Below are 25,946 nucleotides of genomic sequence, written 5' to 3' on the forward strand. Positions count from 1 at the left end.
GGGTTGGTGATGGTTGTCAGAAAGGGAGGTGGGTGTGACTGTACAAGGGATAATGTCAGAGAGATTTCTGTGATGATGAAATAGTCTTGATTGGCATGGTGGTTATAGGAGTTTACACACATGATGAAATGACAGAACCATATATACTCATTATACTAATGTCAGTTTCCTGGTTTCGATATTTTACTGCAGTTATGTAGAATGTAGCCATTAGGAGGAACAAGGTGAAGAGCACAAGGGACCACTCTGCACACCCTTTGGAATTTCCTGTGAACCTATACTTATCTCAAAATTAAAAGTTTAAACTTTTTTAAAAAGAAAAAAATGTTGAAAGATCAACTCATTTCCTCTTTTTATAGTAGTTTGTAGTTTGGGATCTAAGAAGTGTGCAAGCTTACATAGCAGTAGATGAATAAGTCATAAAAGGAAGATGGAAATAGGAGAGGGGCCAGGGAGAATTGGGCACCGTTCAAGATTGCTGAAAATGTTTTTGCTATCAACGAATTTCCCTGTTCCCTGCTTTGGAACAATATGGCCTAACCATATTTTTGTTGTTGTTGTTTTGATATACAATTATAATTCACAATAATTTGCCTGTAATTAATGTTGGTCAAATTTAAAAAATGGCACTGACCACAAGAATACTACAATTAAAGCCCCATGACAGCACACTCACCCACCGCAGATCAGTGTGGAGTGCAGAATTTAAGCATGTGATAGGTAATGACTTTGTCTCGACTCTGAAGTCTAAGAAACAAGGCTGAAAACAGTAGAAGGCTCTGCAAATCATGGCAGCTACTGCAAATGAAATACCTATTTTCATGAATCTAGACACACAAGCACTAACCCTGGGGTCAAGAGACCCAGGAAGAGGTCTCAGCTTGTCTTTGATCACCTATGACATCTTGAGCAGGTCACCACTTCCCCCTTGGGGCTGCTGTAGGAGTGAAATAGGATGCTGCTGTGTTGACCTCTTAGTAAATTAGGCATGCTCTCTACAGGGAAGGACCATCACTCACTCATCTTTTCAACTGTACCCAGTGGCCACTGTCTGAAATGTCTTCTTTTAATAGAAACCATAGCTCTTAGTATGAGCTCACACACTCCATCTCTCTGAGGCTTCCACCTTTCCCAAAATAGGCATTATTTTTATTAGAGCCCAAATGAGCTGATTCTTTATTTCAGACCCCCAGCTCTGAGTGATATAGTTGGATGGAGTAGAGTGCCAGGCCTAGGGGCATAGCCATGCTGACTGGCATTTTGGGGAGGTTCAGCAAGTGCTAGCTAGTGAAGTACTCTTACTGTCCCTTTCTGCTTGGCCTGTATGCTTTCTTTTTAAAATTTCCATTTGTGATATTTGATAGGTACAAAATACGTAGGTGTCATTTATGTACTTTTGGGGCATAATAATAAGACAAATGCCTGTGAACCTACCTCCCAACTTAAAAACTAGAATATTCTCAATACTGTTCTCTACCTCCTCTTTTGCCATTGCCTTTTCCCCCAGAAGTTATTTTAGAACACTTTTAGATTTACAGAAGGCTTATGAAGATAGCCTAAAAAGTTCTCATATATTTAGCATCTAGTTACCCTTATGATGAACTAAAATTGGTCCATTATTAAGTAAGGTCTGTACTTTATTTGGATTTAAAACTTTTTTAACCTAATGTTCATTTTCTGTCCCAGGATTCCATCCAAGATGCCACACTAGTTAGTTGTCATGTCTCTTTGAGCTCTTCTTGGCTGTGACAGTTTCTCAGACTTTCCTTGTTTTGTTGACCTTGACAGTTTTGAGGAGTCGGGTATTTTTTACAAAGTCCCCCAATTGAGAGTTGTCTGATGATTTTCTCGTGAGGGTTTTGGGAGGAAGACCACAGAGGCAACATATCCTACTCATCTCATCACATCAAGAGTCCATTCTGTCAGAATTCTTCACTCCATACTGACTCCCTCTCCCCCTTTCCCTATGTACTCTTTGGAAGGAAGTCTCTGGGTGCACCCCATAGTTAAGGGAGGGGAGTTCACTGCTTCATCTCCTTGAAGATGGAGTGTCTACGTAAGTTATTTAGAGTTATTCTTCCAACAAGATTTGTCTCTTTCACTTATTTACTAGTCATTCATTCTCTTTTTGTTTTTTTGAGTTGATACATTTTGTTTTCTTCACTGGATCTGTTTACTTATTCATTCTAATTGTTCCTATTAATAGGTAAAGAGTGGTATTTTGATACCTGTATATAGTGTGTAATGATCAAATCAGGGTAATTAGCATATTCATTCCCTCAAACATTTATTTTCTGTGTTGGGAACATTCAAAATCCTCTCTTCTAGTTATTTTAAAGTCACCCTACAGTGCTATCAAACACTAGAACTTATTCCTCCTATCTAGCTGTAATTTTGAATCCAGTTAACCAACCTTTTCCTATTCCTCCCTCTCCCCACCCTTCCCCACCTCTAGTAACCTCTATTCTATTCTCTACTTTTATGCATCAGCTTTTGTAGCTCCCACGTGAGTGAGAACTCTGGTATTTATCTTTCTTTGCCTGACTTATTTCATGTAATATAATAACATTATCCAGGCTTATCCATGTTGCCATGAGTGACAAGTGACAGAATTTTATTTTTTTTCTGGCTGAATAGTATTCCACTGTGTATATGTACCACATTTTCTTTATCCATTAATCTGTTAATGGACACTTAGGTTGATTACATATCTTGGCTATTGTGAATAGTGCTGCAGTTAACATGGGAGTGCAGCTGTCACATCAATATACTCATTTCCTTTTCTGTGGGTAAATGCCCAGCAGTGGGATTGCTAGATCATTTGCACCAATGGTAAATTAGTGTTCCTCTTTGTTTGCATCCTTGCCAGGAATTTGGTGTGTGTGTGTGTGTGTGTGTGTGTGTGTGTGTGTGTGTGTGTGTTTGGTCTGATAATACCATTCTCATTGAGATGATACCTTATTGTGGCTTTGATTTGCATTTCTCTGATGATTAGTGATATTGAGCATTTTTTTTGCTATACTTATTGGCCATTTGTATATCTTCTTTTGAGAAATGTTTATTCAGATCCTTTGATCATTTTTAAAACCAGATTATTTGGTCATTTTTAAAACCAGATTATTTGGGTTTTTCTTTTTGTTTTGCTGTTGAGTTTTTGAATTCCTTGAATATTTTGGATAATAAATAGTCCCTTATTGGATGAATAGTTTGCAAATACTTTCCCCTATTCCAGAGTGTCTCTTCATTTGATTATTTCCTTTGCTGTGCAAAAGCTTTTTAGTTTGATATAGTCCCATTTGTCTATGTTTGCTTTTGTTGCCTCTGCTGTTGAAGTCTTAACTATAAAATGAAAAGATATCTCATATTCATGGATTAGAAGAATTATAATATTGTTAAAATGACTATAGTACCTAAAGTGATCTATACATTCAGTGCAATCCCTATCAAAATACAATGATATTTTTCACAGAAATGGAAAAGACAGTCCTAAGATTTGTAGGAAACCGCAAAAGAACCCTGAATAGCCAAAGCAATATTGAGCAAAAAGAACAAAGCTGGAGGCACATGGTGCTTGACTGGAAAATACGCTACAAAGCTACCAAATAAGCATGATATCTTTTTTTTTTTTTTGTCTTTTTGATAATATCATTCTATGCTGTAAAATCTTTGCCCAGACCAATGTCCTAATGTATTTCCCCTATATTTTCTTCTAGTAGGTTTATAGTTTGGGGGCTTACATTTAAGTCTTTAATCAATTTTGAGTAAATTTTTGTATGTAGTGAAAGATAGGGACCTAGTTTTATTCTTCTGCATATGGATATCCGGTTTTCCTACCACCATTTATTGAAGAGGCTCTCCTTTTCCCTAATCTATGTTCTTGACACCTTTGTTGAAAATTATTTGGCTGTGAATACATGGATTTATTTCTGGGTTCTCTATTCTGTTCCCTTTGTCGATGTGTCTGTTTTTATGCCAATACGATGCTGTTTTGATTACTATAGCTTGTAGTATATTTTGAAGTCATGTGGTGTGATGCCTCAAACTTTGTTCTTTTTGCTCAGTATTTCTTTGGCTATTTGAGGTCTTTTGTGGTTGCATACAAATTTTAGGATTTCTTTTTCTATTTCTGTGAAAAAGTCACTGATATATTGATAGGGATCACATTGAAAATGTAGATTGCTTTGGATGTAATGGTCATTAACATGGGATATCTTTTCATTTGTTTATGTCCTCTTCAATTTCTTTTATCGGTATTTTGTAGTTTTTAATGTAGACATCTTTCACTTTCTTGGTTAAATTTGTTCTTAGGTATTTGGCTTTTTTTCTTTTATTTTTAGCTATTATAAACGAGATTGGTTTCTTTATTTCATTTTCAGCTAGTTTGTTATTGGTATATAGAAGAAACACTACTGATTTTTGTATGTTGATTTTAGTATCCTGCAATTTCACCGGATCTGTTTACCAATTCTACAGTATTTTGCTGGAATTTTCCGTTTTCTTTTCCAGTATGACTGCTTTTTCTTTTTCTTGCATAATTGCTTTGGCTAGGATTATAAACAATACATTGAATAAGAGTCGTGAAGGAATAGGCATTCTTATATTTTTCCAGTTGTTAGAGGAAAAGTTTTCAGCTTTTGCCTATTCAGTATGATGTTAGCTGTGCATCTGTCGTTAAGGCTCGTATTACCTAATTTGTTCAGAGTTGTTATGAAGGAATACTGAATTTTATCAAAATGGTTTTCTACATTTATCGAGATGATCATATGGTTTTTGTTCTTCATTTTGTTGATGTGATGTATCACATTTATTGATTTGCATTTGTTGACCACATCCTTGCATTTCTGGAATGTGTCCCACTTGATCATGGTGTATTGTCTTTTTGATATGCTGTTGGATTTACTTTGCCAGTATTTTTTTTTTTTTTGAGGATTTTTGCATCTATGTTCATCAGGCACATTGGCCTGTAGTTTTTGTTGTTGTTGTGTCCTTGTCTGTTTCAGGTGTCAGGATAATACTGGCCTCTTAGAGTGAGTTAGGAAGAATTCTCTTCTCTTTTTTTTTTTTATTTTGTTTCGTTTCGTTTTTGTTTCGTTTTGTTTTGTTTTTTGGAATAGTTTGAAAAGAATTGGTGTTAGTTTGTCTTTATAAGTTTGGAAAAATTCAGCACTAAGGCCATCCAGTCCTGGTCTTTTCTTTGTTGGGAGACTTTTTTTTTTTTTTTTTAAATGGATTCAGTCTTGTTGCTCATTATTAGTTTGTTCAGGTCTCCCCTCCCCTCCCCTCTTTTTTCTTTTCTTTTTCTTCTTTTCTTTTTTTTGAGACAAAGTCTCACTGTTGTTGCCCAGGCTGGAGTGTAGTGGCGTGATCTCTGCTCACTGCAACTTCCATCTCCCGGATTCAAACGATTTTCCTGCCTCAATCTCCCGAGTAGCTGGGATTCCAGGCATGCAGCACCATGCCTGGCTAATTCTTTTGTACTTTTACTAGAGATGAGCTTTCACCTTGTTGGCCAGGCTGATCTCGAACTCCGGGCCTCAGGTGATCCACCCACTTCCCAAAGTGCTGGGATTACAGGTGTGAGCCACTGCACCCAGCCAGGTTTTCTATTTCTTTCTGCTTCATTGTCAGCAAGTTATGTGTGTCTAAGAATTTACTTGTTTTCCTTGGGTTTTCTAAGTTATTGGTGTATCATTGTTCATATTAGTCTCTAATGATCTTTTATATTTCTGTGGTAACTTGTAAAATGTCTTCTGATATTATTTATTTGATATTCTGATATTATTTATTTGGCTTTTCTGTTTTTCATAGTCTAGATAATTGGCAATTTTCATATTTTTAAATAAACAACTTTTTATTTAATTGATTTTTTGCATTTTTTTGGCCTCTTTTGTTCAGTTCTCTGGTCTTTATTATTTCTTTCTACTAATTTTGGGTTTGGTTTGTTCTCACTTTTCTAGCATCTTGATCTTTCTACTTTTTTGATGTGGGCATTTATTGCTATAAACATCCCTCTTAGCACTGCTTTTGATGTATCCCACAGTTTTTGGTATACTGTGTTTCCATTTTTATGTTGTTTCAGATTTTTTATTTCCTTCTTAATTTCTTCATTGACTCATTGTTCATTCAAGAGCAACTTGTTTAATTTGCATATATTTATACAATTTCCAAAGTTGTTATTGATTTTTAGTTTTATTCTATTGTGTTCTGAGATAATACCTGACTTTGATTTATAAAAATTTCTTATGACTTCGTTTATGACCAAACATACTGTAAATCCTAGAGAATGTCCCATGTGCTGATGAAAGGGTGTATATTCTGTAGCTGTTAGATGAAATTTTCTGTAAATGTCTGTTAGGTGAGTTTGATACATAGTGCAGTTTAAGTCTGATGCTTCTTTGTTGATTTTCTGCCTGGATGATCTGTCCAGTGTTTGTAGTGGGGTGTTGAAGCCCCCAACTGTTGTTCTATTGGGGTCTATCTCTCTCTTTAGCTCTAATAATATTTGCTTATATATGTGGGTGCCCTGTTCTTGGGTACATATATATTTACAATTGTTATGTCTTTTTGAATTCACTCCTTTATCATTACGTAATGACTTTCTTTGCCACTTTATGTTTTTTGACTTAAAGTCTATTTTATCTAAATTATATTTTGTCTGGTATAAGTATAGCTACTCTTGCTTACTTTTGGTTTTCATTTCTGTGGAAGATTTTTTTTTCATCCTTTCCCTTCCAGTCTCTGTGTGTCTTTATAGGTAATGTTTTTTGTAAGCAGCATATAGTTAGGTGGTGTTTTTTAATCCATCTGTCCAGTCTATATCTTTTAATTGGGAAATTTAATTCATTTACATTAAAGGGTTTTTTTTTCAATTTTAATTTTTTTATTTTTTTAGAGACAAGGTCTCGTTCTCTTACTGAAGCTAGAGTGCAGTGGCATGATCATAGCTCCCTGTAGCCTTGAACTGTTGGGTTTAAGTGACTGCCCCCCTGCTTCAGCCTCCCGGGTAGCTGGGCCTACAGGTAGATGTGTGCTACCATGTCTGGCTAAATTTTATTTTTATTTTTGTAGAGATGGGGTCTCATTGTATTGCCCAGGCTGGTCTTGAACTCCTGGGCTCAAGCAATCCTCCCATCCCAGCCTCCAAAAGTACTGGGATTACAAGCATGATCCACTATGCCTAGCCCTACATTCAAGGTTGTTATTGAGAGATGAAGGCAAACTCTTGTAACTATGTTAAGTATTTTCTGGTTGCTTTGTATATCCTTTGTTTCTTTCTTCCTCTCATTGTTTTTCTTTGTGGTTTGCTGGTTTTCTTCAGTGGTAATATTTGATTCCTTTCACTTCCTCATTTATGTTTTCGCACTACCAGTGAGTTTTATACTTTTGTGTGTTTCCATGATGGCAGATATCATTCTTTTGCTTCCAAATGTAGGGTTTCCTTAAGCATTCCTCATAGGGCCAGTCTACTGGTGATGAATTCCTCCAATTTTTGCTTGTCTGGGAAAGACTTTTATTTCTTCTTCCTTTTTGAAGGATAGCTTTGCTGGGTATAGTATTCTTGGCTGGTTTTATATATATATACATATATATACACATATATATATATATATACGTGTATATATATATATATTTTTTTTTTGGTCAGCATTTTGAATATATCATAGTGAACTCTCCTGGCCTGTAAGGTTTCTGCTGAGAAATCTGCTGTTATTTTGATGAGGATTCTGTTTTATTTTACTTGATGTTTTTCTCCTGCTGTTTTCAGACTTCTCACTTTGTCTTACTTTTGACAGTTGAACTGCAATGTGCCTTGGAGAGGACTTTCTTAGGTTGAATATATTTAAGGATCTTAGAGTTTCCTGGATCTGGATTCTTTCTCCCACAAAGGGAAGTTTCCTGCTATTACTTTATTAAAGAGGGTTTCTATGCTTTTCTCCATCTCTCCTCCATTTAGAAATCCCAAAATATGAATATATGTTTGCTTAATAGGATCCCACATGTCAGGTAGGCTTTCTTCATTCTTTTTTATTCTTTTTTTCTGAATTCTGGTTTGACTAGGATATTTCAAAAGACCTGTCTCTATGTTCAGAAATTCTTTCTTCTGCTTGATCTAGTCTCTTTTTGAGGCTCTCAATTTTTTTATTTAATTCATTTAATTATTCAGTTCCAAGACTTTTTGTGATAAATATCTCTGTTGAATTTCTCCATGAATTCTCATGAATTGTTTTTCTGATTTCGTTGAATTTTCCATGTTCCCATGTATCTCACTGAGTTTCCTTAAGATCATTATTTTAGATTCTTTTTTAGGCATTTTATGGATTTCCTTTTCTTTGTTCTGTTATTAGAGAATTACTGTGTTTCTTTGGAGGTTTTATTGTTTCCTTGCTTTTTCGTGTTTCTTGTATCTGTACGTTGATATCTGCACTGTTAGCGAAATAGTTTCTTTTTTTCAGTTTCATGGAGTATCTTTCATAGGGAACAGAGTTTTTTGTAGATGTATGCTATAGTATCATTTGGGTAGGATGCTTTGGGTTTGATTCTGGGTGAGCGTAAAAGTGTAGTCTTCGTATGATTTCTTGGACTGTAATCACTGTCAGTGGTGTCTGCAAGTGCCTCAGTGGCTTAAGCTGAAGTTGGTTTTGGAGGCGTGGTGTGGCTTTACTGAAAACAAGGACAGTGGGTGGGCTGGTTTTCAGGCCTCCAGGCTGCGTATGTGGCAGCTTACTGCTGGAGGGAGCAAAGTTGTTGGTGGAGGTAGTAGCAGGCCCCATGCAGTCAGCTTTCAGGCTCTGGGGAGACTGTGCATTGGCTCCCTTTGTTCTAGGGGAAGCCTTCCTTCTGTGCTGGACCACCTGTTCTACAGGGTGTAGGATGCTGCTTGGGTTCAGGTGTTGGGATTAGAGCTGCACTGCTGGGTCCAGCTGGTATCAAAACACTGCAGCTCTTTGGGTGGATACGGTGAGATGTTGACAGGACCCCAGGGATGTGGAGATGCTGGGGCCCCTAGGAGGATGCACTCTAGTGTGAATCCAGTCTCCAAATGGTGCCTTGCTGCAGCAGCCTGGGACTCAGGGAGTAGGGGCTACCCAGCATGAATGGTCTTTCTAGAGTAAAACAACTGCATGGATGCCAGGTACCTCCCTTTATGGGGCTCAAGGCCTATGATGGCTCTGGCTAAGATTGTAGGCATCTGTGGTGTGAATGTGGTCTGCTGTGGACCTTTAGCTTACTTTTTCCTATAACAGGGAGTCCCCCTTGGCTCTGAGTCAGTCCTGGCTGGCTGCTTTTCTTTCCTCTGTGCTGCCATCCTGAGCTTCTGTCCCTCGGAGGGTCTTGTTGCTTCTTTGCTGAATTCCAGTGTTCTCCCTTGGACATTTTACTTGCTGTGTGGTTATCTATTGTTTTAGTTCTTTGTGGATGAGGTGATTGCTGGGTGTGTCTCTAGTAGGCCATCTTAATGACGTCAAGCTCCTTGATTTTTAACGTTAGTTTTACCACATATGTAAGTCTAAACTACATTGTTTAATTTTGCTTGTTTTAGGGCTTTATGAAAATGGATCTATGTAGTATGCAGTCCTTTGACTTCCCCAACGCCTCCCCAATTGCATATTGTTTCTCCAAGTCATCTGTGTGATTGTGTGGGGAGTGGTGATTTCTTGGTTTTCACTTTCTTGGTATGATAGTGAATCATGTGACTATACCACCTATGTATCTTCCCTCCATCAGGGTTATTTTCTCTTCTTTAACTGTCATAAGCAGTACTGCCCTGAGCACTGTGCATGTCCCTGAGGCACAGTGCAAGAGTTTCTGTACTGCATATAAGTAGAAGTGGAGCTGCTGCCTTGTACGTATGTCAGTATTCTGCATTACAAGATAAGCCCACATTGGTTCCAAAGTAGTGATTCTGTTTTACTTTGTCCAGCACATGATGTGTATTCCCATTGATTTTCAACCTTCCTAACACATTATCAACCTTTTTCATTTTTACCCATCTACTATAAAATGGGATCGTATTGTGGTCTCAGATTATGAATGAACTTGAGTTATTTTTATGTTTATTCACCATTTGTGCTACCTGTCCTTGCAATGACTGTGTATTTTGCCTGCTGCCTAATTGAGTTATTGGTCTTTTTGTTGTTGAATTGTAGGAGTTCTTATATATTCAACACCAGTCCTGTACGATTATATGTGCTGTTTCCAACAGTTTCTTTACAAGTATATTTAATCCTATTTTGATCTATGAAAATCAATAATTCCTACATGAGAATTCACTGTTAAGCCAGACTTTCTGTTTAACTAGAACAGTCCTTTTTTTTTTTGTACCAGCAATAGATAACCACTATTTATAAACCTTAGCATTTTCAAGTCACAAGAAAATCTTGTGTTCTCACAGCTGTGCCGAAAGGGCTATATGCATTTTGTTTTGTTTCAATGTTCAGCAGCATATTTTAAAATTAAATTTTGGAGTTGATAAAGATAAATGCAAATTTTTAAATGCTGGAATTTTATTAAAATGTTTTTTTTTTTTTGGCCAGGTAACTAGTCTTAGACAATTGCCTTCTCAGTCATTTAATGAGCTTTCCTAAACTTTATCTTTCATTATCTGTGGCTGCACTAATCATTTGCTAAAAAGAATTGGAAGATTCACTCTTTATTACTGATCTGTATTTCATGAATATTTATGTATACTCCCTGTACTTTCACCCTTTTACCAAAGTAGCTGAATAATATAAAATTTAAATTTTTTAATGGAATTATTTTATGGCTCCCATATGAATAAAAGACCCCTTATTATGTAGAATAACAATGAATATATCAAGAAGTGGGATTGTTTTAAATGAAGCACCTTAAATTTGAATCCACATGCAAGGTAGGGCCTCAGTGTAGGATGGAATAGTTTGTAGGCATCTTGTATCTGTGTGTCTACTGTGGTGATGGAGACCATCAACACCTACTGATGGAGGCCGACCGTAGGCCTTTCATCCACTCTCTCTTTCACATGTTTGCTGAGTATATATATGCATGCTAGGCACCCATCTAAGTCTTGGCTTACAAAGGGACAAAGTCCTTGTCTTCAAGGAGTTAAGTGCAGTCAGAGAAAATAAACGATAAATAAATTAAAATGTGTGTGAAGTAATGGTAAGGGCCATGGAAAAAGAGAAAACAGAAGAAAGGAATGGAGAGTGGTGCGGCAGCTATTTTATATGAGGTGGGGCAGGTTTGGCTTGGCAGAGAATTGGATGGAATCAGAGAAGGAATATGAGAGAGGCAGGGAGAGCAAGGGAGGGGACATTTGAATGGCGGCTTGAACAAAGTAACAGAACAAAGAGTCCTGCAGAGAGCTGGGGAAGAGCATTCCAATGCGAAGACCCCAAGGTGAGAATCAGAGTTTGGAAAAACTGCCCAGGGTCAAGGTCTTTTAGGCTTTGGTGCAGCTTTGGATTTGGTTCTGTTTGGGTGGGAAGCTGCACTGGGGTTTGCAGAGAGGACTGACACAAATACCTTTAGTTTTTAAAGTTCCCCAAAGCGAGTGCCAGGAGGGTAGAACAGAGAGACTGGTAGACTGGAGAGGTGCTGTTGGTCTGGAGTGAAGTGCATGGGAGAGAAGGGGTGGATCTGAGGCATATTTTGAAGGCAAGTCTGTGGGGTTTGCTGCTGGAAAGAATGGGGAGTGAGAGACAAGAGCTTGAGGGATGAGTCTCAGATTGGGGGCTGGGTCAGCCCACTTAATGGTTGTCTAATACCCACTTACTCAGAAGGGCAGACTGCGGGAGGCACAGGAGGTAGTTTGTTTATTTGATTGGTTTCCTTTTGTTTTTCATGGGGAGAATGAAGAGCTTAGTTTTAGACGTGAGATTTGAAGTGCATGTTAGACATCCAGATGCAGATGTTCACCAGGTAGCTGGGTGCAGGAGTCTGGCATTTGGGGATAGAGCAGGGTGGAGACCAACATTTGGCAGCAACAGATGGATGACACTCAAAGCCAAGAGGGCGGATGGAGGGGAGGCTCCTAGACGGCCTGGCTACCCCTCCATCTTTAGTTCAGAAGCACAAGTAGAGTGAGCCAGAAAACTAAGAAGGAAGGGTCAGCAAGGGACAGGCAGCAGGGCTGTGTGATCTCCGCGCAGCTGGTGGACGGTGTGTTTCCCAGAAAGGCTGGTCAGCAGTGTCTGCTGTAGTGGACATGCAGGTAACAAGAGGACCTTTGGATCTGGCAGTATGGTAGGGACAAAAGCCAATTAGTGGAGGCTCAAAGATCAGGTTGGGGAGGAAGTGGAGATGGCAAGAGGAGACAGCTTCTGGTAGAGTATCCCCTCTATAAAGGAGAGTTGGTGGGGTTAGGGGCAAGGGAATGTAATCACAATATGGAGGAGAATTTAGCATGTCTTATGCTAAATGAGATGATCCAGAAAGACACAGTAGCTCCAGGGAATAATTATAGGAGCAGGTTCCTTCCAGAGGTGGGATTCAGTCCACGGAGGAGGACAGGCCTCAGAGAGGCACCCAGACAGCTCACCCCTGTAACACGTGGGACACATGGAGATGTTTTCTTCCGATTGCCTGAATTTCTGTTAATGAAATAAGGAGGGCAAGTGAAAAAATATGCAGTTTCTCCTACTCTACTCTACTCTCACAACACACTTCTGTCAGCAAATGTCTGGGTATCTCTCCCCAACAGCAAGTAAGCAGTTGCTTCTGCAGCAGATGCCACTGAAGGTCTGCTAATTTAATTCAGCTCTGACACTGTTGACCTGGAGACAGCATCAGTCCCATAGTTTGGGGACTCAGTCCTCAAGACTGCCCCTCCACCCCCACTTCAGATGCCAGTTGCACGTCCCAGGTTGTTTTAACCAGTAATTCTGGCTATAAACTGGGGTTCCCATGTTGCCTTCCTCAGGTTCAATTAATTTGCTAGAGCAGCACACAGAACTCAGGGAAACACATTTACTGTGTTTTGTAAGGGAAAATAAAAAATCTCAGGACCTCCTGCTAAACTGCTTATGCAAAAGGGTGGCTTAGGCCCAGAGGCTGAATCTTGCATCCCCCTTTTCCTAATGAACAGCTGTTACCACCATTATGCATCAGCCAGGTCCCCACGGAAAGGTAAAAGGCCGTGGGCATCTGAAAGGCTGCCCCCACAGATCATTCTTAAGTAAATCCTTTCCTGGCTTCCCAGAAACAAGGACAGACCAGTTGTAACTTTAGGTCAGTAATTGAGGTCTACCTTCTAATTCTCCACACTGATAGTGTGGATTACAAGCTTATCTTCCCAGGTGCAGAACAAGTCCAGACTCATTTCTTCCACCTACCCAGAGATGACTGCATAATTGTCTCTTCCGACATTCACTTTATCTGATGTAAAATGTAGATTTACTGGGCACTAACCAAAGTCTCACAGGCATGTAACCTTTTCGCCTTAACCGCCAACCTACCTTCCCCTACTTTAAGGAAATGTCTAAATACTAAACTTGAAAACCTCTTTGGAAAAACAGATGGCTCTGTGGCTTATGTTTTTTCCCTCGAAAAGCCCTAAAGTTGGCTTAATAAACTTCTGTGATTGAATGTCTACCTCAGTCACTCATTTTGGGTGTCACTATAAAGGATATTTTTAAGGATACAGATGTAGAGGTGTAGGTAGGGTGAGGTACAGGGGAAGGGGCACGGAGCTTCCATGCCTTCTCCAGGAACCTCCCCGTGTTCAGATATCTGGAAGCCCATCTGAACCCTGTCTTTTTGGGTTTTTATGGAAGCTTCATTGCATAGGCATGACTGGTTAAACCCTTGGCCATGGATAATCAACTTGACCTCAGCCCCTCTCCCCTTCTTGGAGGGTGGAGGGTGGGGTTGAAAGTCCCAACCCTCTAATCCTGCCTTGGTCTTTCTGGTGACCAACCCCATCCTGAAGCTGCCTAGGGGCTGCCAGCCACCAGTCACCTCATTTGCATACAAAAAGACACTTACATTTGAGGCTAAGCCAGGAAATGGGAAGATGACCAAATGTGTTTTATACGGTATCATAGAAGGTCATTCATCAACTGAGGCTACAGAAAGGGGAGGAGATATTAGAGGATGGAAAAGAAAGATATTAATAGACCCTTCAGAGAGGGGAAGGGAGCTCGCTTAGAAAATGGAGTTAAGTTGCCAGGAGGCACCAAGAGTCCACTTGAGGCCAGAGATCAGAAATGTAAAATGGCACTAGCTGCCCTGGGGCAGGTGTGAAGTAGGTGAGAGTTAGATTTAAGCAGACCTGAGATGTGGTGAAGGGAAAGTAGTAATAGTATTTGTGGGGGTTTTTTTCTTTTTTTTTTTGAGCCGGAGTTTCTCTCGTTTCCCAGGCTGGAGTGCAATGGCGCGACCTCGGCTCACTGCAACCTCTGCCTCCCGGTTTCAAGTGATTCTCCTGCCTCAGCCTCCCAAGTAGCTAGGATTAAAGGATGCACCACCATGCCAGCTAACTTTTTTGTATTTTTAGTAGAGACAGGGTTTCGCCATGTTGGTCAGGCTAGTCTTGAACTCCTGACCTCAGGTGATCTACCTGCCTCAGCCTCTCAAAGTGTTGGGATTACAGGCGTGAGCCACTGCACCCAGCTTGTTTTTTTCTCATAAAAAGTGTAGAAATCCTAAACACTGAGGAAAGTTTGTAACATTTTTTCCTATATACACCAATACTTAATGAAAATATATACATTAAAAAAATAAAAATCTGAATCATATTATACATATGCTTTATGACTGTGTTGTCTGCCCTGCTATCAGAGTTGTTTAAATTTCCCCTTGGTCCTTTTGGCAGTGACATCTGACTCTTGAGTTATAGCCACTGAGATCTCTCTAAGTGCTCTTGACTCTTGACTTGTGTCATTATGTTTTGTTGCCCCTAAGTCAAGGGTACAAGTAATTATACATGGAATTGGTGTGAAGTACTCACAGCAAAGACTGCAGGTGGGCTCTGGGAGGCCTGACTGGGTTGGGGACAGTGAATGCAGAGGTGGGGACGGGACCCAGCCCGTGGCAGGAGAGGGCGGCTGTGGTTTTGGAGGAATGAGTTTTCAGGGGGGTGGACGCTGTGAGAAATATGATAGGCAACCAGTGGGTGGTGGGGTGGGGGGGTTCTTACTGCTTGCCATTGCTTAGCAGGAGGGACAGTCTAGTGGAGATAAAATACCATCAGGCTTCACAGCACAGTTTTATTATTTTCTTCAACAGCATGTGGCCCAGGAGTGGGCTAGAGTCTGCATAGGAGAAATCTTAAGTTCTAGTTAAGTATACCTTATCCTAAGTGCTTGGGATCAGAGTGTTAGGGCATTCAGAATTTTTTGAGGTTTTGGAATATCTACATATACATAAATGAGATATCTTGGGAATGGGACTCAAGTCTAAATGCTAAATTTATGTTTCATATATACCTTATTTATGTTTCATATATATATAGCCCGAAGGTAATTTCATATAATATTTTTAATAATATGTGTGACCCATCACATGAGGTTGGATGTGGAATTTTTCACTTGTAGTGCTCAAGTTTTGGATTCGGAGCATTTTGGATTTTGGAGTTTTGAATTAGGGATTCTTAGCCTGTATTTCTGTACTGTGGTCCCATAAGAAAAAAAAAAAAAAAACCTAGCCCTCCCCTCTTTATTTTGTAAAGGATTCATGTGTAAAAAGTGGACTACAGGTACTGCTGGTTACAATCAAGGCAGATATACTGATTCTGGGACTGGGGTAGAAAATATGCAAGAAAAGCCCAGAGCATCTTGTGGTGCCAGAAAGTAAGGATGTGCTCAAAGAAACAAACGAACGAACACTCGCAGTGATGGTGATACGTCACAGGGACACAGTAGCCAGCTGAAAACGCTCCCATACACAAAGCTGGAACAATTCAAGAAAAAGCAATATTGGATGGTAGCCCAGAGTATAAAATAGCCGTAAGATCACAGTGATATAAATGATGGAATACGTTAATTAGTAGGGGAAGAGAAATCTCCTGTGCAAAAGGTTTCCAGATAATTCATGTAGATGCTTTGCCCTCAAGGAGATGGAAGAGTTAACTCCCCACCCTTAAGCGTGGGCTGTTCCTGGAGACTTCCTTCCAAAGAGCATAGCATGGAAGGGGGCAAGTGTAACTTCAGTGGAGAATCCTGACAAACACCGCCTCAGCCAGGTGATCAAGGTCAACATCAGCAGTCTGCAGTCCTAAGCCATGTTGACCTTTGATATGGTAAGATGAGAATAGCATGTTGCCTCTGTGGTCTTCCTCCCAAAAGCTAATACTGGAGCACTGATCAGGTATTTTGCAGAAGGTCCCCCACTTAGGATTTGTCTGATGTTTTTCTCATGACATCAGACAAATCCTAACGGGTGGGGGGACATTCTTTAAATACCTGACCAATGCTCTTCAAAAAAAAGGGAAGTCTGAGAACTGCCACAGTCAAGAGGCGCCTAAGCAGACGTGACAACTAAATGTAGTGTGGGATCCTGGGTGGGATCTTGGGACAAGAAAAGGACATTAAGGGAAAGCTAAGGACATCTGAATAAACCATGAACTTTAGTTAATGTATGGGTAGTGGTTCATTAATTGTAACATGCTTATCATACTAATGTAATATGTTAATAATAAAGGAACCTATTTTAGTCTAAAAAATATTTTTGGGCCAGGCATGGTGGCTCACGCCTGTAATCTCAGCACTTTGGGAGGCTGAGGCGGGCGGATTATGAAGTCGAGTTGGAGACCAGCCTGGCCAACATGATGAAACCCCCATCTCTACTAAAAGTAGAAAAAAACAAAAAAAAAAAAAAACAGCTGGGCATGGAGGCTCTTACCTGTAATTGCAGCTACTCGGGAGGGTGAGGCAGAATTGCTCGAACCCAGGAGGAGGAGGTTGCAGTGAGCTGAGATCGCGCCACTGCACTCCAGCCTGAGCAACAGAGTAAGACTCTGTCTTGGGGCGGGGGGGGATATATATATATATATATATATGTATGTATGTATATATGTATATAAAAGAATATATAAATATATATACATAAAAATAGATATATATATTTTGAAATATCAAGCACAGATGCTAGAAACCTTTATTTCCTCATTCTGTTTTCTTAAATGATAGGGATGGTTTCTTTAACAGAATTCTACATTTGGAATAAATATTAGCATTTATTGTTCCAAACTCATTTATAGAGGTGTCTATAGTAATTAAACCCAAAGTAACCCATGTCCCCTCTCCTACACAGGGTCCCTGCTGGCAGGTAGGTACAGGTTCTTGTCCCTAGAGCGGGGTGCAGAGGGGCTTTCTATAATCCACTCTCCCACTTCAATAGGAAAATCTAAAGCATAGATACCATGCTTAGGAATGTGGGCATAAACCATATAAATCTGCAGAACTAAAATGATTTTAGTAGCCTAATAATATTTTAACATTATGAGACCTGGGTAGTGTGGAATCTGTTTTTAAAAATCACTGTGCTTCTTGTTTCAACCTTGCATGTTTCAAAATCAGGCAGGGAATCGTGAGTAACAAGGTGGCAAGGAAAAAGGTCAGATATTGATTAATGTAGCTGAATTCATTTGTAAGAACTGAGGAAACTCATGACATTTATATTTTGAATTTTTTTTTTTTTTTTGAGATGAATCTTACTCTGTCACCCAGGTTGGAGTGCAGTGACTGATCTTTACTCACTGCATCCTCCGCCTCTTGAGCTCAAGTGATTCTCCTGCCTCAGCCTCCTGAGTAGCTGAAATTACAGGCATGTACCAGCATGCCCGGCTAATTTTTTGTATTTTTAGTAGAGGTGAGGTTTCAAATGTTGGCCAGGCTGGTCTCGAACTCCTGACCTCAGATGATCCACCCACCTCAGCCTCCCAAAGTGCCAGGATTACAGATGTGAGCCACCACGCCCAGCCGAGGTTTTTTTGAAGTAGATGTTTAAGTTACAAAATTTACAAGTACCTTACAGCTGTGAAAAAAAAATAGGAAGGCCTGATAAACCGCTAAAAATGGTGACTGTTATCCGTCTACTTTGGGAGCAGGGAGTATGCACTACCTGAAAAGACCTCACTTGTGTTTCCTAAGAAGCCAAGTTCCACCAAAGACATCTATGTCCATTTTCATACGTGGGTATTTTCCCATTGTTGGTATTTCCTCTTCACCCCTTCACCATGCTGTCTTCTGGCTTGGCAGAAGGCAGTGTTGATTCCAGTGCAGTTATATGGAATTTCATTTGTTTACAGTTAACATCATGTAAGAAAATTGGCTTATTAAATTTATGTTGATTTTCCAAAATGCTGGCACCAGGGAATCACTTGACAGTCACAGCCTTCCTCCCAGTGTGATTAGTGTCTAAGACACCAACGAGAAAGCCAAGGAAGGTTACAAAATTGTGTACTTTTGTAGCTGGAGTGGTAAATTATGTGTAAAATAGCATTTCCCAGATTCTAGTTGAAGCGACAGTGCCACCACTTCTTTTTTTTCTGTAAAATTTCCCAGACACTAATGAGCTATGTTGACTTAGAGTCTAGTCTGCAGAACGCTAGTGTGTCTTGGCATTTCAGAGAGTAAATGAGTTGCTCAATGATGAACTCCTGAAAACTGGATGATAAACTCACATTTTAAGGCATTTTTCTTCTATAATTTTGAGGGGTAACCTGATCCTGGCAGTAAAGATAAATTAATGGTAGATACTCACTGAAAAAAAAAAAATAATAGGAGGGTGTAGCAGAAAACTGTAGATGATCTTTATGATCAGTATAAAATTTTTCTTTTTATTGAGAATTGCTATGTGCTAATAAATTCTATTGAGGATGCAGTACAAATACTGTTCAGTTAAGAAATTGATGTATACGTTACACCCAATAGGATGACTGCTGTCAAAAAGTAGACAATAACAGGCGTTGACAAGGATGTAGAGAACTTGGTACCCTTGTGTACTGTTGGTGGAATTGTAGATGCAGCCTCCGTGGAAGACATTAGGGCAATCCCTCAAAAAATTAAAACTAGAATTACCATATGACCCAGCAATTTCACTTCTAGGTATACACCCAATGGACTGGAAAGCAGGGACGTGAAGAGATATTTGCATACTCATGTTCATAGCATTATTGACAACAGCCCAAAGGTGGAAGCAACACAAATGTCGAGTGATGGATGAACGGACCAACAAAATGTGGTATATGCATACATTGGAATGTTATTCAGCCTTAAGGGAATTCTGACACATGCTACCAAATGATGAACCTGGAAGGCATCATGCTAAGTGTAATTAGCCAGTCACAAATAGACGGACAAGTGATTCCACTTAAATGAGGTACCTGGAGTTGTCAAATTCGCAGGGACAGAAAGTAAAATAGTGGTTGCCAGGGACTGGGGGAAGGGAGAAATTGAGAGTTAGTGTTCAGTGGGTACCTATTCCAGTTTTTCAAGATGAAAATAGTTCTGCAGATAGATGATGTTGATGTTTGCACAACAGGGTGAATGTACTTGAGGCCACTGAACTGTACACTTAAAAATGGTTAATCTGCAGGGGTTGGGTGAAAAAAAAAAAGAATATGGTTAAAATGTTAAACTTTGTTAAATATATTTTATCACAACTTTGTAGAAAAGAAATGATGTGGGATATTGTGTGCTTGAACTTTTGCTGAATAATATGTACTATAATTACTGTTTAAGCAGTGGTGAATGCCGCTGTAGGGTCCTGGCCTGTGTCCCGGTGGGCAGGTGGAAATGCAGGTGTGCAGCGGAACTGGCCTCCCTAGAAGTAAAGACCTGGAACAAGAGCCAGCCAGCCAATGGGAAGTGGATGAGCTTTCAGGGGGCTCCCAGGGTGGGAGAGGGGCCTGGTGGGACACGCAGGGTACATCAGGGAAGGAGCAGATGGCAAAGAGGGAGGAGAATTCACTGGATAATCACCCATCCCAAGTACTTAAGCATAATTTTTTCATTGACTGGTTCTCTAAAATGAACAACAAATAGTTTAAATTTACATTTTATAATAGCTTGACTACACCTCTTTGTTTGTAAAATGTATTCTGTTAGATGCTGTGGTTGCATCAAAGCTTTTCTAGGCTAGCTAGATACAAGCTGATAGCATTAGCATTAGCCACACTGGGAGCATTAAAAAAAGGGAGCTGTGACCCAAGACTTATTGGGATCTCTTCGTAAAACCTCACAGAACTATGTCATCCCAATTTTACTACCTTTGAGTGTTGGCACATCTTTCTGTTTAAGTTTTCTGTTTTTCAATGACATAATCTATTGCACATACGTTTTTGAGTCCCCGTGAACCTTATGTTCAAGCCATTGAGCCTAGTGATGACTGGGCATTACGTGGACATTAGCAGAGCAATAATGGCTAACACTTGTCCAGCACAGACTGAGTGTTAGGTATTTCCTGTAGACTGGCTCATTTAATCCTCACCGAAGCTCTGACCCATCTGCAAACACAGAAATGGGGGGCAGAGTGGTCAAGCACCTTCCCCCAAAGTCACCCAGATGGTTGATATGAAGCTGGCTTTTCAAACCCTGGCTTTCTGCAGCTGAAGAGGATCTTTCACAAAAGTGGTCCTATCAGTGTCCACAGAGGAAACCTCTGTAATTTCAACGGTCGGAAGAGAGTTTACCGGCAGCAGATTTTGACCATTACCCAATAAAAACAGAAGACAGATCATGAAAGGACTCTCTCCAAAATAACATACTGAGCAAAGGTCTTACTGACCAGAAGCTGCTGCCCTGTAAGAGTCAGCCATGCTCAGTGGGAGCAGCCACAGAGAAGATGCTTCTTTGCTCCCGAGAATAGCAGTGCACACGGCCTGCCTCCAACACGCTGCAAGAGAGAGGGGGCGAGAGGAACTGAGTTAGTGGATGTGTGCTTTAGATTCAGTAAACTTCTTTCAACTAGGCCTGCCTTCCTCTACCCCTCCCCAGTAAAATATTGAAACAAGCCCCTTCCCAAATGATATCTACTAAAAGCCTGTATTTGAATGAGTTTCCATAAATTGATCAGTTGCATTTTAAGGCATGAGATATTACAAAGAAAAAAGTCTTAAGGAGCCACAGCGAAGTAGATTGTGTTATTTGAATAATTCAGACTGCATGTTGAAAATCAAGGTAGGGATGACAGTATTTTTCATATAGACTCAATTTTTTTTCTACTAACTGAACTCTAAACCAATTATTTGCACATAGACAAATATATTTTGGTATGCACACATGTGCACATATGTATTTTTGAAATTTCAAGTTAATATCCTGGAAGTAACATGTTAGACTTGTTTTTGTCTCCCTGCGTATATTTTGAATTAAGTTTAAGAAATCAAGACCAGGTGTAATGGCTCACACCTGTAATCCAGCGCTTTGAGAGGCCAAGACAGGAGGATCCCTTGAGGCCAGAAGCTTGAGACCAGCCTAGGCAACATAGATATTTTTTGTAGATAACCCCATATCTACAAAAAGTAAAAAACTAGCAGGGCGCGGTGGTGCACACCTACAGCTACTCAGGAGGCTGAGGCAGATGGATCGCTTGAGCCCAGGAGTTGGAGGCTACAGTGAGCTGTGATTGTGCCACTGCACTCCAGCCTCAGATGCCTTTCTGTGATGCCATCAGAAAGAAGGAAAGAAGGAGGGAGGGAAGACTCTGGTCTTCTCTGTGGCGGGATAAATTGGTTAGTCAGTGGAAAGGTGAATGAGGCAGGTGGATATTAACCTGGAATCATCAGTCTGCCTTCTCCTTCAGCTTCCCATTAAACCAGGTGGCTGAAGCCTAAACACCCATTGTCAATACACAGTGGGGCCTCCTAGACAATAAGTAAGTGACCAGGTGGTCTCTGGTGCTAAATGCTCTAATGCTCTTCAGGAAGTCAGACAAGAGGGCTAGGAGAGTGACACTTTGATGGGTATCTCTGAAGCAGTACTGCTTGTTCACTGGCTTGAATCACAGAAGAGCAGCCACTGGGCCTGTCTTACTCTGCAAGGAACCTGGTGCTTAGAAAACTCAGTAAATCCTAGTTAAATGAAGCAGAGATGGGTAGAACATGGCCCCTCCTGACAGGTATGACATAAATATTCAGAGGGTATTCATTATGACTGTAGTTGCCATTCTTAAGTCTCTCTTAATGCTGGCACATCCGGCCTCAGGACTTTGTTTACAAGCTCCTCATGAGGTATTACCCTGGGCTATTGAAGAGGCAGCTGGGCTAAGGTGGCAGTAAGGCCCACACCTATATAAATGTTAAACCTTGCCCTCTAAAGCACTTTGTATTCATGTCTCTCCTGAGCATCAGAAGTATCTTCCGAGGCAGGTGGCGGTGTCCCATTTTACAGAAGAAACTGAAATCCAAGGAGAACATACAAATGGTTCAGCTAAGCTTGAATCTCAGACCCTTAACTCCTTTCTTCTGTAATATTTGGTTCACCTTGATCCCCGTGACCTCTTTGGAAATCTCTATGACCATTTTTTAATGTTGTAGGGGCACTGGCTACTATCAGGAGTGTGTTAACCCAGCAAGATACGGTTCATAGGATTGTCTTTAGAAAGAAAATAGGGTCTTAGAGTAGGATTGCTCGTATTTTAGGCGTTAGTGAAAACTGTTGAGCTGAGAAAGTTTTTATACCTATCCTATTTGTTTTTAAACCCATTCCCATCCAAGACTTGAAAAGGCAGCTTAGCTCATGAGGTTCTGAGAGCTGTTTTTCCAGCATAACTTGGGGGTCTTGCTAAGCTGTGTTTTAGAGTGGTCACATGACATACAAGATGTAATCTGGCTATATAATATCAAATTTGTAGCCCTTCTCTCTTTGGGCTAGACCTGAGTAATAAACTTAACTAGCTGTAGTAATGAAGCCAAAAATTAGGTTTCCTTGAACTGCTAAGCTAGAGAGAAAAACATGCGTTGTTCTTTGGATCAGACTTCTATGATGGTCTTGCCTAGACTAAATCAGAATACCATCTCTGACTTAAAATTTCAGTAGTCAATTAGCTGGAATGCATTTTTTTTCAGACTTTCTTCTGTTGAGGCTTTTTCACATTGGAAATTTGTCAGTTTGTATGTCTAATTTTATTGTAGAATAATGGGTCATCTGCAGTCTCTTTCTGTTCAAATCCATCCTGCACCATAGCAAATTACTCTTAACTGAAAATACCACATGGTCCTGTTGGGTTTTAAGAAACAGCGTCCAAGGGATGCAACTTCAACTCTCGGCCAACAAGACCCTCCAGATGGGCTTCCAGCCAGCCTTTCCAACCTGTGTTGGCAAAGAGAGAAAAGACCGAAGCCTGTGAGGATACAGGGTGATGGGGCACTCTTCCTTCCCACTTGTTTTGGGGTCTCTGAGGGCAGCAGCCCAGCCCGGCTGTGTAAATGAGGGAGCCATTGTTGTATCAGTGCATGGCCATAACTCAGCTTCAGAACAAAAAACTGTAGGGGGTGCCTCCTTCATTGAGGATACCGGGCTGCTAAGTCGGTGTCCGGCACAGAGCTGAGCTTTTTTTTTTTTTTCTGAGACGGAGTCTCGCTCTGTCGCCTAGGCTGGAGTGCAGTGGCGCGATCTCGGCTCACTGCAACATCCGCCTCCCGGGTTCAAGCGATTCTCCTGCCTCAGCCTCCGGAGTAGCTGGGACTACAGGAGCGTGCCACCACCCCCGGCTGCTCTTTTTGTATTAGAGACAGGTTTCACCGTGTTAGCCAGGATGGTTTCCATCTCCTGACCTCGTGAAGCGCCTGCCTGGGGCTCCCAAAGTGCTGGGATTACAGGCGTGAGCCACCGCACCCGGCCAGAGCTGAGCTTTCTAAGGGTCTTGGGAAGTGTGGCTTCCAGTGCTCCAGGAGTTTCAGAAGCGGAAGCGTTCAGGGATTGGTTAACCTTTAGCTACTGAGGCGTGATTACGCCAATGGAGCTGTCATTGATTGGCTGTCCCTCTGAAGCAGTCTCACTGCAGTGAGGCAGTTGTTGATTGGCTGGCCGTCTGGTGTGACTTAGTTTTTGATTGCTGGATTTCACTGGAGTGAAGTGGTCGTTTATTGGCTGGCCCTCTGATATGAGGTGGTGGTGAATTGGTGGGCGTCAGTGCAGTAAGTGAGCGAGCCGGACGTCGATTGACTGGTCTTCAGAAGCAGGTTCGGTTTTGTTTTGTTTTGGTTTGGTTTAAATTGATGGGGGCTGTCATTGAGCCATTAAAATAGGGTTAAACCCATTGCTATGGCTAACCAATAGGCAGTCATTTCCTAGTTGTATGGGAACTTTTAATTTTCACGTGTCCTAGAATCTTAGAATTCTGAGTTGGAATAAGCCTATCAAAATGCAGACCACGCATCGGACGGTTGGGCGGGTCGGGGAGGGGAGGTCCACAGGCCTGGGCTCAAATCCTGACTGTCATTAAATAAGGCACTCAGTCTCTGTGACACAGTCTCCTAAAGGATGACACCTCCCTGAAAGGTGGGTGTTTTCCCAAGATTAAACGCCTTGGCATGTGGCAGGTGCGCATCACTGCTCAACATTTACTTCCCATTGCATTTCGCAGAGCTCAGGGTTGTGGCCCAGGGGAAGTTCTGTGGGGTGTTGTTTTGTGGCTCGGTTCTCTCACTTGGCCTTTCCCATCTAAGGCTCGGAAGAATTACATGGCAAGATGTAAAACTCCTTGGATGCTCAGGCCTCTTTCATAAAGATACTGATATAATTGGCTTGCAGTAGGGCTCAGGCAGTGGAATTTTTAAAGCTTCTATATGATGTTCGGTGTGCGTGAAAATAGATCCTGCCCAGCCAGCTCTTTACTTAACTACCCTTCATGCAGTAGGAAATATTAATAAACAGCTTTGATTGGCGAGATCTTGACTGGTCTTAAGCGATGGGCTGCTCTTGTTAAAACCTTGTGGAAATTGTGTAATTAAGAAATGTGGTATTCAGATGGAATATTCTCTGAATATTCCATTCCTGTTACTGCTATTGCTCTTCTTCTTGTTACTTAGAAAATCTGCCTTTATGACTTTCAAAAGTCTAATCTGACATAAAGCTCAGGTTAGTGAGTTCTACATGGTATGCACTTGAGATTTTCTGAAAGTGGATAACAAAATTGTCTCCAGTTCTGATAGGAGCTTCATGTAAACTTTATCCTCTTGAATATTGTATATATTATGCAGAGGCTTTCCTCCTTCCCAAAAGGTTTGTTATCTTTAAATTTGGAAGTTAATTCATGAAAGAAACGTGTATTATTTATAAAAAAATTTTTTTAGCATCTAGTAGAAAATATGTTATTTAAAAATGGTATTTATGCTTCCATGGAGTCAATGTGCATAGGTCCCCTGTAATCCTAAAGTCATCCCTATACAATAATGAGAACTTCTCTGTCAGGGAGGAAGGGGATTTTAGTCCTGAGTGTTTTCATCATTCATTTCTCCCTAGTTTGGAGAAATGTCTAGTTAGTTTAAGGACTGAATATTGAATTTTTCTGCTTAAAGAATATTGGTTCATCTTCTACCTAAGAAGTAGAGAGTTGCTAAAATAGTTGATTATTTATTTTATTTATTCAGCCACACTTTTGCTATTTATTACTTCCAAAATTGACTTTACTGGATATATAATACACGCATCTATTTATTGTTGTTTTGATAAACTTTTCATTTTGGAAAAATGTTATGTTCACTTTTGATGTTGCACATTTTATAGATTTTAACAAATGTATAATGACAGGTGTCCGCCATTATAGTATTGAGCAGAGTAGTTTCACAGCCTTAAAAATCCTGTGCTTCACCCTTGCATCCCTCCCTTCCCTCTTGCCCCAGGCAAGCACTTATTTTCTTACTGTCTCCATAGATTTGTCTTTTCCAGTATGTCATACCGTTTTAAAGAAAAAACTTATTCATGACATTTGTTGAAGAACAGTAAGGCAGATTTTATTCAGAGGGACTACTACAGTAGGGTTTTGCAGTCAAGAAAGAGATTGGGTTTGACTCCTAATATTAA

The 25,946-nt window shown here is 40.4% G+C and overlaps 1 protein-coding gene across 14 annotated transcripts in view, besides 1 other annotated feature; it reads left to right on the forward strand.

Annotated features, from left to right (window-relative positions):
- Positions 1 to 25,946, forward strand: part of NCK2 (NCK adaptor protein 2) — a 149,820-nt gene that overhangs the window by 83,342 nt on the left and 40,532 nt on the right. For 2 of the 14 annotated variants that reach the window (NM_001004720.3, XM_011511992.3), the window contains exon 1: positions 24,053 to 24,103. The exons of the other annotated variants lie outside the window; for them this stretch is intronic. The gene's annotated coding sequence lies outside the window, so the exon portion shown is untranslated. Of the gene's footprint in view, positions 1 to 24,052; positions 24,104 to 25,946 lie in introns of those variants that run through there. 14 annotated transcript variants of the gene reach the window in all.
- Positions 7,374 to 7,423: an enhancer, noted in NCBI's record as "active region_16333". NCBI's record gives its function as "activates an Ori minimal core promoter by ATAC-STARR-seq in GM12878 lymphoblastoid cells {active_cell/tissue: GM12878}" and the evidence as "EXISTENCE:reporter gene assay evidence [ECO:0000049][PMID:35858748]".

The sequence above is a fragment of the Homo sapiens genome, chromosome 2, assembly GCF_000001405.40.
Source record: "Homo sapiens chromosome 2, GRCh38.p14 Primary Assembly".
Taxonomy (NCBI): domain Eukaryota; kingdom Metazoa; phylum Chordata; class Mammalia; order Primates; family Hominidae; genus Homo; species Homo sapiens.